The sequence below is a fragment of the Homo sapiens genome, chromosome 17 (genome assembly GCF_000001405.40).
Source record: "Homo sapiens chromosome 17, GRCh38.p14 Primary Assembly".
Taxonomy (NCBI): Eukaryota; Metazoa; Chordata; class Mammalia; order Primates; family Hominidae; genus Homo; species Homo sapiens.
The window spans coordinates 73405919-73420603 of NC_000017.11; the positions used below are offsets into that span (position 1 = coordinate 73405919).

Consider the following 14685-nt stretch of genomic DNA (forward strand, 5'->3'; position numbering starts at 1 on the left):
TTCACTGTGTTAGCCAGGATGGTCTCGATTTCCTGACCTCGTGATCCGCCTGCCTTGGCCTCCCAAAGTGCTGGGATTACAGGCATGAGCCACCGTGCCCGGCCCCTCCTCTTATATATCTTAAATCACCTTTAGATTATTGTAATACATAACACAATATAAATGCTATGTAAATAGTTGTTATACTGTATTGTTTGGGGGAATAATGACAAAAAACTCTGTGCATGTTTAATATAGATGCATTTTTGTCTGAATATTTTCAGAACCTTATGAGATTGGCTGAATCCACAGATGTGGAATCCATGGCTAAGAAGGGCCTACTACACTCTTTTTTTTTTTTTTTGAGATGGAGTCTCGCTCTGTTGCCTAGGCTAGGGTGCAGTGGCGAGATCTCCGCTCACTGCAATCTCTGCCTCCCCAGTTCAAACGATTCTCTTGCCTCAGCCTCCTGAATAGCTGGGATTATAGGCACCTGCCATCACGCCCAGCTAATTTTTTTTTTTGTATTTTTAATGGAGATGGGATTTCACTATGTTGGCCATGGTGGTCTTGAACTCCTGATCTCAAATGATCTGCCCGCCTCGGCCTTCCAAAGTGTTGGAATTACAGGCGTGAGCCACCGCGCCTGGCCTGTACTTGTTTATATTAAAAAAATGGAAGAAAAAACCAAACCAAGAAAACAGAAAGCAATCAGACCTATAGGGGAGTGAGAGGACAAGGATTGAAGCTGATTTTCTCTGAATTTGCTTTGTGGATTTGACTTTATTATGTAAATATTCAACGTAATTATAGAATAAAATTAAATTAAAAAATCAATCCCTAAAAATCAAAACCACAATGAAGCAAATGAACTAATAGAGTATTGAGCTGTGGTAAAATTACAGAGAGAAATGACTTCAAAAGACTTAGCAATGCAGTGCGAAGTCCATCCCTAGAGGGATATACCTCAGGAACAAGAAGAATGGCAATAATTGGAAACTACGTTCAGTAATCATAGTGTGGATATGACTATTCTGAAACTGTTGTGTGTGTTTGTGGGAATAACGTAGGTGGGTAAAATGCTGGTATTGTAGGAACTGGATTTTCAGTATGGACAAAAGACCAATGAGATTATTAAAGAGTCTGTCATCATGAAATGGAATTGAAAGTGTGAGTATCTATAGTATCTTAAAAAATATTGTTTAGCTAGCCATTAACAGGGCCTAGAAACAACAACCATTTCTGGAATAAATGCAATGCAAGTGCTAAAACTGTGGTATCTAACTATCATTTCTCACTGAAAGCAACAAGAGCCCCTTAAAGAAATGGCCGATGCCTGGCACAGTGAGGGGAATGTATATATAATAGTCTGGAACATCTTGTCATACCAAATTGCAAGGAAGCTATCAGAGACTACTGGGGCCACGTCAAGAGGGCTCACCATCAAGTCGAAGAGGCCAATGATGGGTCCATTTGTACCACTGAACTGGCAGCACCCAGTACCATTTAAGAAGCATAATAATGGTAATGGATTGAAACATGTCAGATTTGTAAAACAAAAAACAAAACAAAAAAAATCCTTGGTTATCTAATAATACTACCAAACCCAAAACAAAACAGAAAGACGTCCCCCTCCAACCCAAGCTCATCTGTTACCTGATAAGACAATAAGGAATCAATTTAGTCTTTATTTTTTCTGTTTTTTAGAAATAGAGATAGCGGGGGCGGGGGAGTCTCACTATATTGCCTAGGCTGGTCTTGAACTCCTGGCCTCAAGCAAGCCTCTGCCTCATCCTCCCAAAGTGTTGGGATTACAGGTGTGATACACCATGCCCGGCCAGAACCAATTCATTATACGAAAAATTTGGTAAGTAAGGAAAAATAATTAAATGCTTACCCTGCTTTTCCTAGATAAACTGAAACTTCAGGTAACCAAAAAGTTGATAAAGGGAAAATTCTTGTTTTTGAAAGCATTTCAGCTACTAAGTCAAGAAGAAATGATAATATTTGCCTATCCCCATATTATAACCCTTATTGAAATGATAGCTCATAGATGACTGTCAGTGGTTGACTTCACAGTAAGAGAGACAGCCGGACTTTGTGCTTTCTGATCAAAATACATAACACCATCTAGGAAGTAAAATATTTCCTTTTTTTTTTTTTTTTTCTTTTGAGACAGAGTCTGGCTCTGTCGCCTAGACTGGAGTACAATGGTGTGATCTCTGCTCACTGCAACCCCTGCCTCAAGAATTCAAGCAATTCTTCTGCCTCAGCCTCCCGAGTAGCTGAGATTAGAGGCATGTACCACTACACCTGGCTAATTTTTTTTTTTTTTTTTGAGATGGAGTCTCGCTCTGTCACCCAGGCTGGAGTGCAGTGGTGCGATCTCAGCTCACGGCAACCTCTGCCTCCCGGGTTCACGCCTTTCTCCTGCCTCAGCCTCCCGAGTAGCTGGGACTACAGGTGCCTGCCACTGCGCCTGGCTATTTTTTTTTTTTTAATATTTTTAGTAGAGACGGGGTTTCACCGTGTTAGCCAGGATGGTCTCGATCTCCTGACCTCGTGATCCACCTGCCTTGGCCTCCCAAAGTGTTGGGATTACAGGCGTGAGCCATCACACCCCGAAGTAAAATATTTCAAATAACAAAAAATCAAACCTGAATCAGATTAGCCTCTAGCTTTAAGTTACAATTCATTGTAACTATATTGTTTGGAGGAATGCATTGAATGACCCCACAGGGATGCAATCAGCGAAATCCAGACTGTGGAAAATTCTGTTGGACAAATGACTAAGTTTCTTCCCAAATAAATTACAAGAAAGAGAAAGGGAGAGAGAAAGAGAGAGAGAGAAAGAATCTATAGATCGACTGAGACCTAAAAAAAACCCCTCAACTGACTGCAATTGTGTGAACTTCATTTAGATCCTGAAGCAAATAAAACCACGAGTAACAGATTATGCGGCAATCAAGAGAATTTGAAGGCTGACTGGATATCTGATGATATTACAGGGCCTGCTGATATTTTTAGCTATCATAATGATAATGCAGTTACTGTGGTTTTATTTTAAATAGAGATCTCATCTATACTGTTTCTTTCCAGAAACATTCATGGATGAACTGATACAATGCCTGGAATTTGCTTCAAAATGTTCCAAGGGAAAGGCAGAGGGTTGGGGCAGAGATGGAACATACCTGGCTGGGAGTTGGGCATTGTTAAAGCTGGGAATGGGGATACAGGTGTTCACTGCAGTCTTTCCTCTACTTGGGTGGATGTTTGAAAATTTTCACAATTAAAAGGGGGCAGCCGGGTGTGGTGGCTCACGCCTATAATGCCAGCACTTTGGGAGGCCAAGGTGGGTGGATCATTTGAGGTCAGGAGTTTGAGGCCAGCCTGGTCAATGTGGTGAAACCCCATGTCTACTAAAAATACAAAAATGAGCCGGGCATGGTGGCATATGCCTGTAGTTCCAGCTACTCGGGAGGCTGAGGTAGGAGAATCACTTGAGCCCAGGAGGCGGAGGTTGCAGTGAGCCGAGATCCAACCTGGGTGACCGAGCAAGACTCTGTCTTAAAAAAAAAAAATTAGCTGAGCATGGTGGCACATGCCCCTGTAATCCCAGCTACTTGGGAGGCTGAGGCACAAGAATCGCTTGAACCCGGGAGGCAGAGGTTGCGGTGAGCTGAGATTGCGCCATTGCATTCTAGCCCGGGCAATAAGAGCAAAACTCCATCTCAAAAAAAAGGAAGAAAAAAAAAACACAAAAGGGGAAAAATGCTCATTCTTATTGGAGGTATACAAGGGACAAACACTGCTTTTTTCTCCTTGTGATATGCTGAAGGCTAAAGAAGCAGAGGAAAAAAATCTCTGCTGCTTTTATTCATTGGTATTGAAAATGTTATCTACAATTAAAAATAATACATTCTCTCTCTCTCTCTGTGTCTGTCTGTCTGTCTCTGTCTCTCTCTTTCTTTTTTTGACACAGGGTCTCACTCTGTCACTCGGGCTGGAGTGCAGTGACGTGATTTCAGCTCACTGTAGCCTTGAATCGTGGTCTCAAACAATCCTCCCTGTCTTAGCCTCCTGAGTAGCTGTGATCACAGGCACTCAACACCACACCTGACTAACTTTTTTGTGTGTGTAAAGATGGAGTCTTGCCATATTGCCCAGGCTGGTCTCAAACTCCTGGGCTCAAGAGATCCCCCTGTCTTGGCCTCCCAAAGTGTTGCGATTCCAGGCGTGAGCCACGGTGCCCAGCCTGACATTTCTTTTTAATGTAAGGAAAAGTGAAGGCTCTGGTTTGAATCTGAGCTTTGCATGACCTTGACACTGTGTTTGACCTTGAACAAGTAACTTCCCTCTGGTGCCTCAGTTTCTTTCTCTGTAAAATGGTGTGATGGTAATATTCCTTTTTGTTTTTGTTTGTTTGTTTGTTTTGAGACAGAGTCTAGCTCTGTCTCCCTGACTGGAGCGAAGTGGCGTGATCTCAGCTCACTGCAATGTCCGCCTCCTGGGTTCAAGCGATTCTCCTGCCTCGGCCTCCTATGTCTGTAGCTGGGATTAGAGATGTGTGTCACCACACCTGGCTAATTTTTGTATTTTCAGTAGAGACAAGGTTTCACCATATTGGCCAGGCTGTTTTCAAACTCTCGACCTCAAGTGATCTCCTGCCTCGACCTCCCAAAGTGCTAGGATTCCAGGCATGAGCCACCACCCCCGGCCGATAATGCTGCTTCTTAGAGTCCCTGTGCTGCTTGCATGAAAGATAAATGTGAGCGAAGCATTTAGTGTACTGCCTGGCCCAGAGAAAGGGCCCTGTAAGTGTGAGGTCTCCTTACTCCTCCACCAGTTTCTGTGCTCAAAACGTCTGGGCAATTCACTCCTGCTGACCTTTATCGAGTAGCTACTGGGGGCTGGGCACTGACTGGACCTGGGAATTCAGTGGCCTCTGCCACCTCCTCTTGCTCTGGGTCACCATGGGCCACTGCCCTAATTGTCCTGGCCATGGGCTGGCCTTCCTGGCCCTCGGGGGAGCTGTTTGCCTTAAAAGTTTGTAGCTCAGCCCTCCCATATGTAGAATAAAACTTGTGCTTAGAATTGGTAGCAAGAAGCTAATTGTTCCCAGTTCAGCTCCTCTGCTCTTCAGCAATGCCGGCCTCCCCTTCCTTCCTCTGCCTCCCCCCAGGGTCCCAATTAGGAGAGTTTTCCGGCAGCGAGTGCTCCAAGAATTCAGCTGCTGCTCCCTGCCCTGCAAAGCTCTGCTCGACCTTGGGTTCACTGCCTTCCTGGGATTGAGAGGGCCAAGGCCGGAGTGAAGCTGGGTCATTTCCAGTTCTGGACCATCCCTCCTTTGTTTGCTTGCAACACTAGCAGAAACTCCTCTTCATTATTTCATCCCAGTCCCTTCTTGTCCAGCCTCCCCCACTTTGGAGGAAGAACCGCTAAGGCAGCGAGTCCTAGAATTAATCTTAGTTGTGGCAAGCACAGTGCAGAGGGGTGCAGGAACCTTCGGGATGTGTCAGTGGTCACCTCGAGGTCATGCGTTCCCTGGACTGAAGCTCAGGGCCTGCAGTGCTCTCCGCTTCACAGCTGGCCTCCCCTCAAATGCTCTGCCTCCCCTCCCACATCTGGAGGGAGTGGACGGCATCCTTCCGTCTGCCCCACGTTGCTGGGGGCAGGTCCTACCCCTTTAAAACATAGTGTGGATCCCCCATGCTGTGCTCTGTCTTTAGTCCTCCGTGGGGAGGACAGGCACGGGGCCCACATGGAATGACACGAGAGAACCGGGCCTGGGCTCTGAGGTCTGTGTTCCAGGATGGGAGGACTGAGAAGTCCTGACCTTTAGCTCAGTTGGAAGGAGAGCAAATGTACTACTACTACTATTATTACTGCTATTTTTTTTTTTTTTTTGGTCAGAGTCTCGCTGGAGTGTAGTGGCAGAATCTCAGCTCACTGCAACTTCCGCCTTCCAGGTTCAAGCAATTCCCCTGCCTCAGTCTCCCGAGTAGCTGGGACTACAGGCATGCGCCACCATGCCCAGTTAATTTTTGTGTGTTTGTGTATATATATATATACGTATATATATATCTACGTATATATATACACACATATATATGTAGATATACGTATATGTATATATACGTATATATATGTATATACGTATATGTATATATACGTATATATGTATATGTATATATACGTATATATGTATACGTATATATGTATACGTATATATGTGTATGTGTATATGTATATATACGTATATATGTATATACACATATATGTATATGCACATACACACATATACATATATGTATATGCATATACACATATACATATATACATATATCCTGGAACATATACATATACATATATATATGTGTGTGTGTGTATATATATATGTGTGTATATATATATATTTTTAGTAGAGATGGGATTTCACCATGTTGGCCAGGCTGGTCTTGAACTCCCAACCTCAGGTAATCCACCCACCTCAGACTCCCAAAGTACAAGGATTACAGGCATGAGCCACCATGCCTGGTCTACTGCTATTATTACTATTATTATCTGTTATGGGCTGAGTTGTGTCTGCAAAATCTGTATGTTTAAATTCTAACCCCTAGCACCCCAGAATGTGACTGTATTTGGAGACAGAATTGTTAAAGAGGTAGTTAAATGAGGTCATTAGTGTGGGCCCTAATCCAATGTGACTGAGGTCCCTATAAGAAGAGGACATTTAGGCCAGGCGCGGTGGCTCATGCCAGTAATCCCAGCACTCTGGGAGGCCGAGGCAGTCGAATTACTTGAGGTTGGGAGTCTGAGACCAGCCTGGCCAACATGGTGAAACCCCATCTCTATTGAAAATACAAAAAAATTAGCCAGACATGGTGGCACATGCCTACAGTCCCAGCTACTCGGGAGGCTGAGGCAAGAGAATTGCTTGAACATGGGAGGTGGAGGTTGCAGTGAGCCAAGATCTCTTTGGACACAGACACAGAGTGAAGACAGACACCTAGAAGTCAAGGAGAGAGGCCTCAGAGGAAACCAACCCTGCCCACACAGTAATCCCGTACTTCTAATCCCCAGAACTGTGCAAAAATAAATTTCTGTTGTTTAAGCCAGGGTTCCCCAATCCCCCACGGACCACCAGGTACCAGTCTGTGGTCTGTTAGGAACCAGGCTGCACAGCAGGAGGTGAGCGGCAGGCAAGAAAGTGAAGCTTCATCTGTACTTACAGCTGCTCCCCAGTGCTCACATTACCACCTAAACTCCACCTCCCATCAGTGGCAGCATTCGATTCTCACAGGAGCGTGAACCCTGCTGTGAACTGTGGATGTGAGGGATCTAGGTTGCGTACTCCTTATGAGAATCTAATGCCTGATGATCTGTCACTGTCTCCCATCACCCCCAGATCGGACCATCTAGTTGCAGGAAAACAAGCTCAGGGCTCCCATGGATTCTACATTGTGGTGAGTTGTATAGTTATTTCATTATATACTACAATGTGATAGTAACAGAAATAAAGTGCACAATAATGTCATGTGCTTGAATCATCCCGAAACCATCCCTCCTCCCACCCCAATCCATGGAAAAATTGTCTTCCATGAAACTGGTCCCTGGTGCCAAAAAGTTTGGGGACTGTTGCTTTAAGCAATCCAGTCTGTGGTACTTGGTTATAGCAGCCCAAATGCATTTCTACGACCACTAAAATCACTTTCCAAGTGGTTATCATGTGTTTGTCATTGTGCTGAACAAATTAGAAATATTATCTCACTTAATCCTCACACAACTCCAAGAAGCAGGTATTATCATCTTCATTTGCAAATGAGAAAACTGAGTTTATTTTAGTTATTCAGCGGTGCGAGCAGTGCATAGAGTAGCTGCTCAATAAATATTGATTGAAGGACAGAAGCTGAGACATATTAAAGAACATGCGCAGGTTGCCAGCAAGAGGCAAAGCTGGGACTTTAACCACCAAGTCTGTCTGAGTCCTAATCCTGTGCCATTAACCACACACTACGTGGAGTCGAGTACAGCCTGGGGATACGTTTGAGCATGAAGCCCACAAGAGCCACGGTAAGAAGTGAATGGTGGATTTTTCTCATGGGGCCATGGCTATACCAGGTGTTTCTTTTTCTTCTTTTTCTCTCTCTCTTCTTTTTTTTTTTTTGGGACAGAGTTTCATTCTGTGGCCCAGGGTGTAGTGCAATGGCTGCAATCTCGGCTCACTGCAACCTCCGCCTCCCAGGTTCAAGTGATTCTCCTGCCTCAGCCTCCCGAGTAGCTGGGATTACAGGCGCCCCTGCCACCAAGCCCAGCTAATTTTTGTATTTTTAGTAGAGACGGAGTTTCACCATGTTGGCCAGGCTGGTCTTGAACTTCTGACCTCAGGTGAGCTGCCCGCCTCAGCCTCCCAAATTGGGGATTACAGATGTGAGCCACTGTGCCCGGCCCCTACACCAGGTGTTTCTGAGCCTGAAATAACCTGGGTTTTGTGTATAACCCAGTCTCGCTGGGAAGGACCGTAGCACTGAGTGTCAGTCAGGGCAGTGTCTGCACTTCCTGTGGCCCACATGTAGCCTTGGGGAAGGCCTGGAACTCTTTTCCTCTAATGTGTGTCCCTAGCTTGACTCGAGCCAATGACTTCAGAAACAGAGGGGGGATTTCCTCCTGCCCACTCTGTCCCCTCTCCCCACCCCCTCCAGAAGATCTTAGGGCCTCCTCTTGGGTGAGGAGATGCCTCATGTACCTTGTAGCCCTGGTTGATGCCGTTGATGAACTGGGGGCTGGGGGCGTTCCAGGTGAAGCGGATGGTCGTGGAATTGGTGGCTTCCGCGTGCACATTGCCCGGAGGGACCGTGGGAACTAGAGGAGATGAGAGAACGGGGTGGGGTGGAGGGGGCCCAGTCAGTCTCTCTTGCCCAGTTCAGTAGAGAAAACGCAGGGGTGGGGGCTATAGCCTCTGCCTTGCACCCCCCTACCCCACCCCAACTCCTCCCTCGCTGTGTAGACTTAAGAGGCCTTCATATTCTCTCTGGATTAGTTTGCGTTTAATAAAACTTGCCTGACCCACCTCACAGGGTACTGGTAAATAAGAGGGGTGCGGATGAAAAATGCTCTGGCATGGTTTTCAGGTGGAATGCTAAAAGTAAGCTGTTTCATGATCTACTTAACATGAAATTCACAGAAGGTCCCCATATGCCTGGAGCCTCTGCCCTTCACCATGTCCAAGCCAGCCTCCTCTTCCTCTTCCCCTCAGTCCTCCCACCCTGTGGGGTAGATTGGCCTGGGGTGGTGATTCCAGCCCCAGGGTGCAATAGTAGGGGCCTGGTGAGAACAGGCCACACAGCCAAGGCTCTCGGGCCTGGACAGGCACAGAACCCAACAGGCATGGGACTGGGAGAAGGGGAAGCACCTGCTCCTCTGAGGCCATAGTCTCTTTTCATTTCATTTCACTTTTTTTTTTTTTTTTTTTTGAGACAGAGTCTCACTTTGTCACCTAGGCTGAAGTGCAGTGGCACGATCTCAGCTCATTGCAGCCTTAACTTCCCCAGGCTCCAGCCTTGGGGACCTCCCGAGTAGCTGGGACCACAGGCATGTACCACCACACCAAGCTAGTTCTGTTCATTTTTTGTAGAGACAGGGTCTCACTATGTTGCCTAGGTTAGCCTCAAACTCCTGGGCCCAAGCGATCCACCTGCCATAGCCTCCTGAGTAGCTGTGCCACTGTAGCATGTAGCATGCCACCACACCCAGATAATTTTTTTCACTTTTTGTAGAGATGGAGTCTCCCTATGTTGCCCAGGCTGGCTTAAAACTCCTGGGCTTGAGCAATCCTCCCGTCTTGGCGTCCCAAAGTGCTAGGATTACACGCATGAGCCACCGCGCCTGGTCTGAGACCACAGTCTCTACCTACCTCCCTGCAGCGTCCACTCGGTGACTTTACTGCTGTAGACCCCCAGCCCAGCGCTGTTGTAAGCAGCCACCTCGATCTCGTAGTTGGTCCAAATGATGAGATCCTCCAGCAGCAGGTTGTTCACATCAGCATCCGTGATGTTCTTAAACTGGTACCCCACGGGCAGCCCGGCCAGGCAGTACCTGAGGGGAAGAGGCGAGGCACAGTGGAGTCAGAGTCAGCTTCCTTGGCCTCGTACCCAGGAAATTGTCCAGAGCAGCGCTGTCCAATAGGACTTCCGGTGGTGGCGGAAGTGCTCTGCACCTGTGCTGTCCGACAGGGTGCCCGCCAGCACATGCAGCTGCTGAGCACTTGAAATGTGGTTAGTGCAACCGAAGAAATGAATTCAATTTTTTTTTTTTTTTGAGACGGAGTCTTGTTCTGTCACCCAGGCTGGAGCGCAGTGGCGCAATCTCGGCTCACTGCAACCTCTGCCTCCCAGATTCAAGTGATTCTCCTGCCTCAGCCTCCCTGAGTAGCTGGGATTACAGGCATGTGCCACCACACTGGCTAATTTTTGTATTTTTAGTAGAGACAGGGTTTCACCATGTTGGCCAGGATGGTCTCGAACTCCTGACCTCAGGTGATCTGCCTACCTCACTTCAGCCTCCCAAAGTGCTGGGATTATAGCATGAGCCACTATACCTGGCCTGAATTAGAATTTGTTTTAGTTTTGCTTATAGTTGACCCTTGAACAACACAGGTTGGAACTGTACAGGTTGGCGTACACACAGAACTATTATTTTATTTTATTTTTTTAGATGGAGTCTCGCTCTTTCACCCAGGCTGGAGTGCTATGGCATGATCTTGGCTCACTGCAACCTCCACCTGCCAGGTTCAAGCAATTCTCCTGCCTCAGCCTCCCAAGTAGCTGGGACTACAGGCATGCGCTCCCATGCCTGGCTTATTTTTTGTATTTTTAGTAGAGATGGGGTTTCACTATGCTGGCCAGGCTGGTCTCGAACTCCTGACCTCGTGATCCACCTGCCTCAGCCTCCCAAAGTGCTGGGATTATAGGCGTGAGCCACCATGCCCAGCTACACAGAGTTTTAAAAATAAACATATCAGAAAAAGTTTTAGAGATTTGTGACAATTTGAAAAAACTCGCAGATGAATCACATGGCCTAGAAACATTGAAAAAATTAAGAAAAAGTTATATCATAAATGCATAAAAATATACGTGTTAATCGACTGGTTATAGGTGTGGCTTCTGGCTAGCAGTAGGCTATTAGTATTTAAGTTTTTGGGGAGTCAAAAATTATATGTGGATTGGGCCGGGCATGGTGGCTCGTACCTATAATCCCAGTGCTTTGGGAGGCCCAGGCAGGTGGATCACTTGAGGTCAGGAGTTCGAGACCAGCCTGGCCAAAAAGATGAAATCTTGTCTCTACTAAAAAAAAAAAAAAATTAGCCGGATGTGGTGGCACATGCCTGTAGTCCCAGCTACTCGGGAGTCTGAGGCAGGAGGATCACTTGAGCCCAGGAGGTGGAGGTTGCAGTGAGCTGAGAGTACGCCACTGCACTCCAGCCTGGGCAATGGAGTGAGACCCTGTCTCAAAAAAAAAAAAAAGAAAATAAATTATACATGGATTATCAACCGTGAGGGGGTGAGCACCCCTAGCCCCCACACTGTTCAAGGGTCAACTGTAATTTAAGTAACCAGAGCTAGCTAATGGTTACCTTACTGGGTAGCAGAGGTCTAGGGGATGTGTCTGGACTATTCTATTTGATGGGGGAGGATTGCTAACCAGGGGCACTGAGAGGTCCCAGGGCAGAACTTGCAGGTCTCAGCCTTGGAGGGGTCATGGACTGGAGAGCTGTCCCTGAAGCCTGGGCTCATTTTCTTTCCTCCTCTAGGATACAAGGCTCCCTCTTCTGAAAGTTACTCGCCCAGGTGGAATGAAACACCTGGGCTACCTACTCGACCCATTTCTACCTCCACTGGCAAAAAGAACTCACAGCACTAAAGAAGTAAATGTGTACAAGCAAATTTTGGGGGTCAGACACAAAGGATGGGTCATTCATTTGAGAAACACGATGCATATATAATTCAGCATCTAATTATTGGAAAATTAAGGACCTCAAAGTATTCTGATGCATTACAATGCCCTAAAACACTGCTTCTCTAAACCTGAAGATGCATCAAAGTCTCCTAGATGAGTTTTTTTTTTTTTTTTTTGTTTTTAGATGGAGTCTCGCCCAGGCTGGAGTGCAGTGGTGCGATCTTGGCTCACTGCAACCTCTGCCTCCTGGGTTCAAGTGATTCTCCTGCCTCAGCCTCCTGAGTAGCTGGGACTACGGGTGTGTGCCACCATGCCCAGGTAATTTTTGTATTTTTAGTGAAGATGGGGTTTCACCATATTGGCCAGGATTGTCTCAATCTCCTGACCCCGTGATCCACCCGCCTTGGCCTCCCAAATTGCTGGGATTACAGGCGTGAAACACCACGCCCGGCCTGAAAGATTTTTTTAAAAGCAAAGGTTTCTAAGCCTATCCTTAAAGTTTCTGGTTTGGTAGGTCTTGGAGAGACTTGATAATTTGCATTTCTGACCAGTTCTCAGGTTAGGCTGATGCCATGGGTGCTGGGACCACACTTTGAGAACCACCGCCCTTCAGGATTAGTGAAAAACCCACAACAAAATTAACCAATAGTGGAGCAGTTAAACCCCTGTGAGGGTGTGTACATGCAGGAATGAGACACACGAAGTTGCATAGCATTTTGTAGCCAGAATCTAGAATATCAATGAGAGTTCTCAGTAACCTCAGATAACTTATGAATTTGAACTTATGAATACCACATTTTAGTGACCCTTAATGACTCCCATTTAGGTTACTAGAAGAGTAGTCCCTCAGTCAAATGCAAAGATAAGGGTCTGTATAACTGGGCTTCATTTCCAGTAATAACCAAAGAAAGAACTTTCACTTTTCCATCAATTCTTCGGCCAGCTGGTTTCTCCACTCACGGGTCAAGAGAATTCTGGCCTGTGATGGAATATTCGCGGCTTCCCAGAGCGTTGCCCCTTGGAAAGTTACTTATTTCTTCTCCTGTCTCCTTGTAGGCCTGTTCCTATGTCAGCCCATATAGCCTCCCCTCTCACGCATTCCTCGCTGGTGTCCAGGGGTCTTGCCACTGGAAGTTCTACTAGGTGTCCAACCTAAATCCTTCCTACCACTGAGTAGGCATTTCTTGTTACCTAGTCCTTCCTAGATGGCGAAGGGCCTGCCATGAATTTGCACTGTTTTCCAGTCCACTCCCGATCTTCCCCCATGCCTTTCCCCTTGGGACTGGGCTCCTGTCCCCAGGGTGGACACCCACCTGATGATGTAACCCTTGAGAATTCCATTCTGGTGGCTCTCAGGAGGCGGCTGCCACTGGATCATGATGGACTGGTTGGTTCGACCGCTGGCGATGACGTTCTGTGGAGGGGCCGTGGGGGGCTCCTCGGGGAGGGAGACCCTGGATCACAAAACACCAATGCTCTTAGTCTTGGGGTCAAACACAGGAGTTGAATGGGATATGAGAAGGCTGAACCCTGGCCTGCTCTGACTCTGGATAATTCGGTACAACTGCTGTGTGCATCTGGGCAAGTTACCTGACTTCTCTGAGCTTGTTCTATAAAAGAATTATAATAAAGCTCTACTTGCCTGCCTTATGAGACTAGTTGAGGCTCAAATGATACTACATATATAGTCTCTGTGTATATGTGGATATATGTATATGTCTTTTAAAAACTATAAGGCCAGATGCTGTGGCTCATGCCTGTAATCCCAGCACTTTGGGAGGCTGAGGCAAGAGGATTGCTTGAGGGCCAGAGTTCAAAACCAGCCTGGGCAACATGGCAAGACCCTGTCTCTACCAAAAAAAACAACAAAAAAAACCCAAAAAAACTCCCTCCTGGTGACTTGCACCTGTAATCCCAAATACCTGGGAGACTGAGGTGGGAGGATGGCTTGAGCCCAGGAGGTTGAGGCTGCAGTGAGCTGTGTTTGCATCACGGAACTACAGCCTGGGAAACAGAGACCCTGTCTCAAAAAAAAAAAAAAAATTAATGTACATGTTTTTGGTGCCGTTGAGGGATGTAAGTTTCAGTTTCCTATTTGTCAAGGAAGCTGCTGTTGGGGCTGATGAGGTCATGAGTGTCCAAGTGTTCTATAAGCAGAAATGTTGGTCACATCCCACTGGTCAGCTGCTGGTGTACCTTAACTAGGCCTCCTTTGCTGGCCAGCTGAGCCCCAGGCAGGAGCAGGGCGGGCATGGCGTGTGAGGGAGAGAGCCAAGGACACCCACCCTGCCTCGGGGAGCCAAGCGCGACAGCACGTCTTTCTCTGGCATTGCTGGGGGATGCTGTGTTCTGCCTAAGTGTACTTTTCACATCACGGACACGTGTCCACTCCAAACAAAAGTTAATTATTTTTGATGGATGACTTTCCCTTTTTGTTTATGTTTTTGCTTTTTGATGGATAGCTTTCCTAAGCATGCTGCTCGCTCCCGTGTTTTATTTGAGAGAGTTTTGCTCTTTCGCCCAGGCTGGAATGCAGTGGCATGATCTCACCTCACTGCAACCTCTGCCTCCCGGGTTCAAGCAATTCTCCTGCCTCAGCCTCAAGAGTAGCGGGATTATGGGTGCCTGCCACCAGGGCTGGCTAATTTTTATATTTTTAGTAGAGACGGGGTTTCATCATGTTGGCCAGGCTGGTTTTGAACTCCTGACCTTAGGTGATCCACCTGCCTCTGCCTCCCAAAGTGCTGGGAT

At 46.7% G+C, this 14685-nt stretch overlaps 1 protein-coding gene across 5 annotated transcripts in view; it reads right to left on the reverse strand.

The window, feature by feature from the left end:
• Positions 1–14685, reverse strand: part of SDK2 (sidekick cell adhesion molecule 2) — a 310062-nt gene that overhangs the window by 71535 nt on the left and 223842 nt on the right. For all 5 annotated transcript variants that reach the window (XM_047436313.1, XM_011524914.3, XM_011524915.3 and 2 more), the window contains exons 16-18: positions 13248–13388; positions 9893–10074; positions 8726–8841 (exon numbers count right to left, since the gene is read on the reverse strand). In XM_047436313.1, the coding sequence (XP_047292269.1) occupies positions 8726–8841; positions 9893–10074; positions 13248–13388 (439 nt within the window). The remainder of the gene's footprint in view (positions 1–8725; positions 8842–9892; positions 10075–13247; positions 13389–14685) is intronic.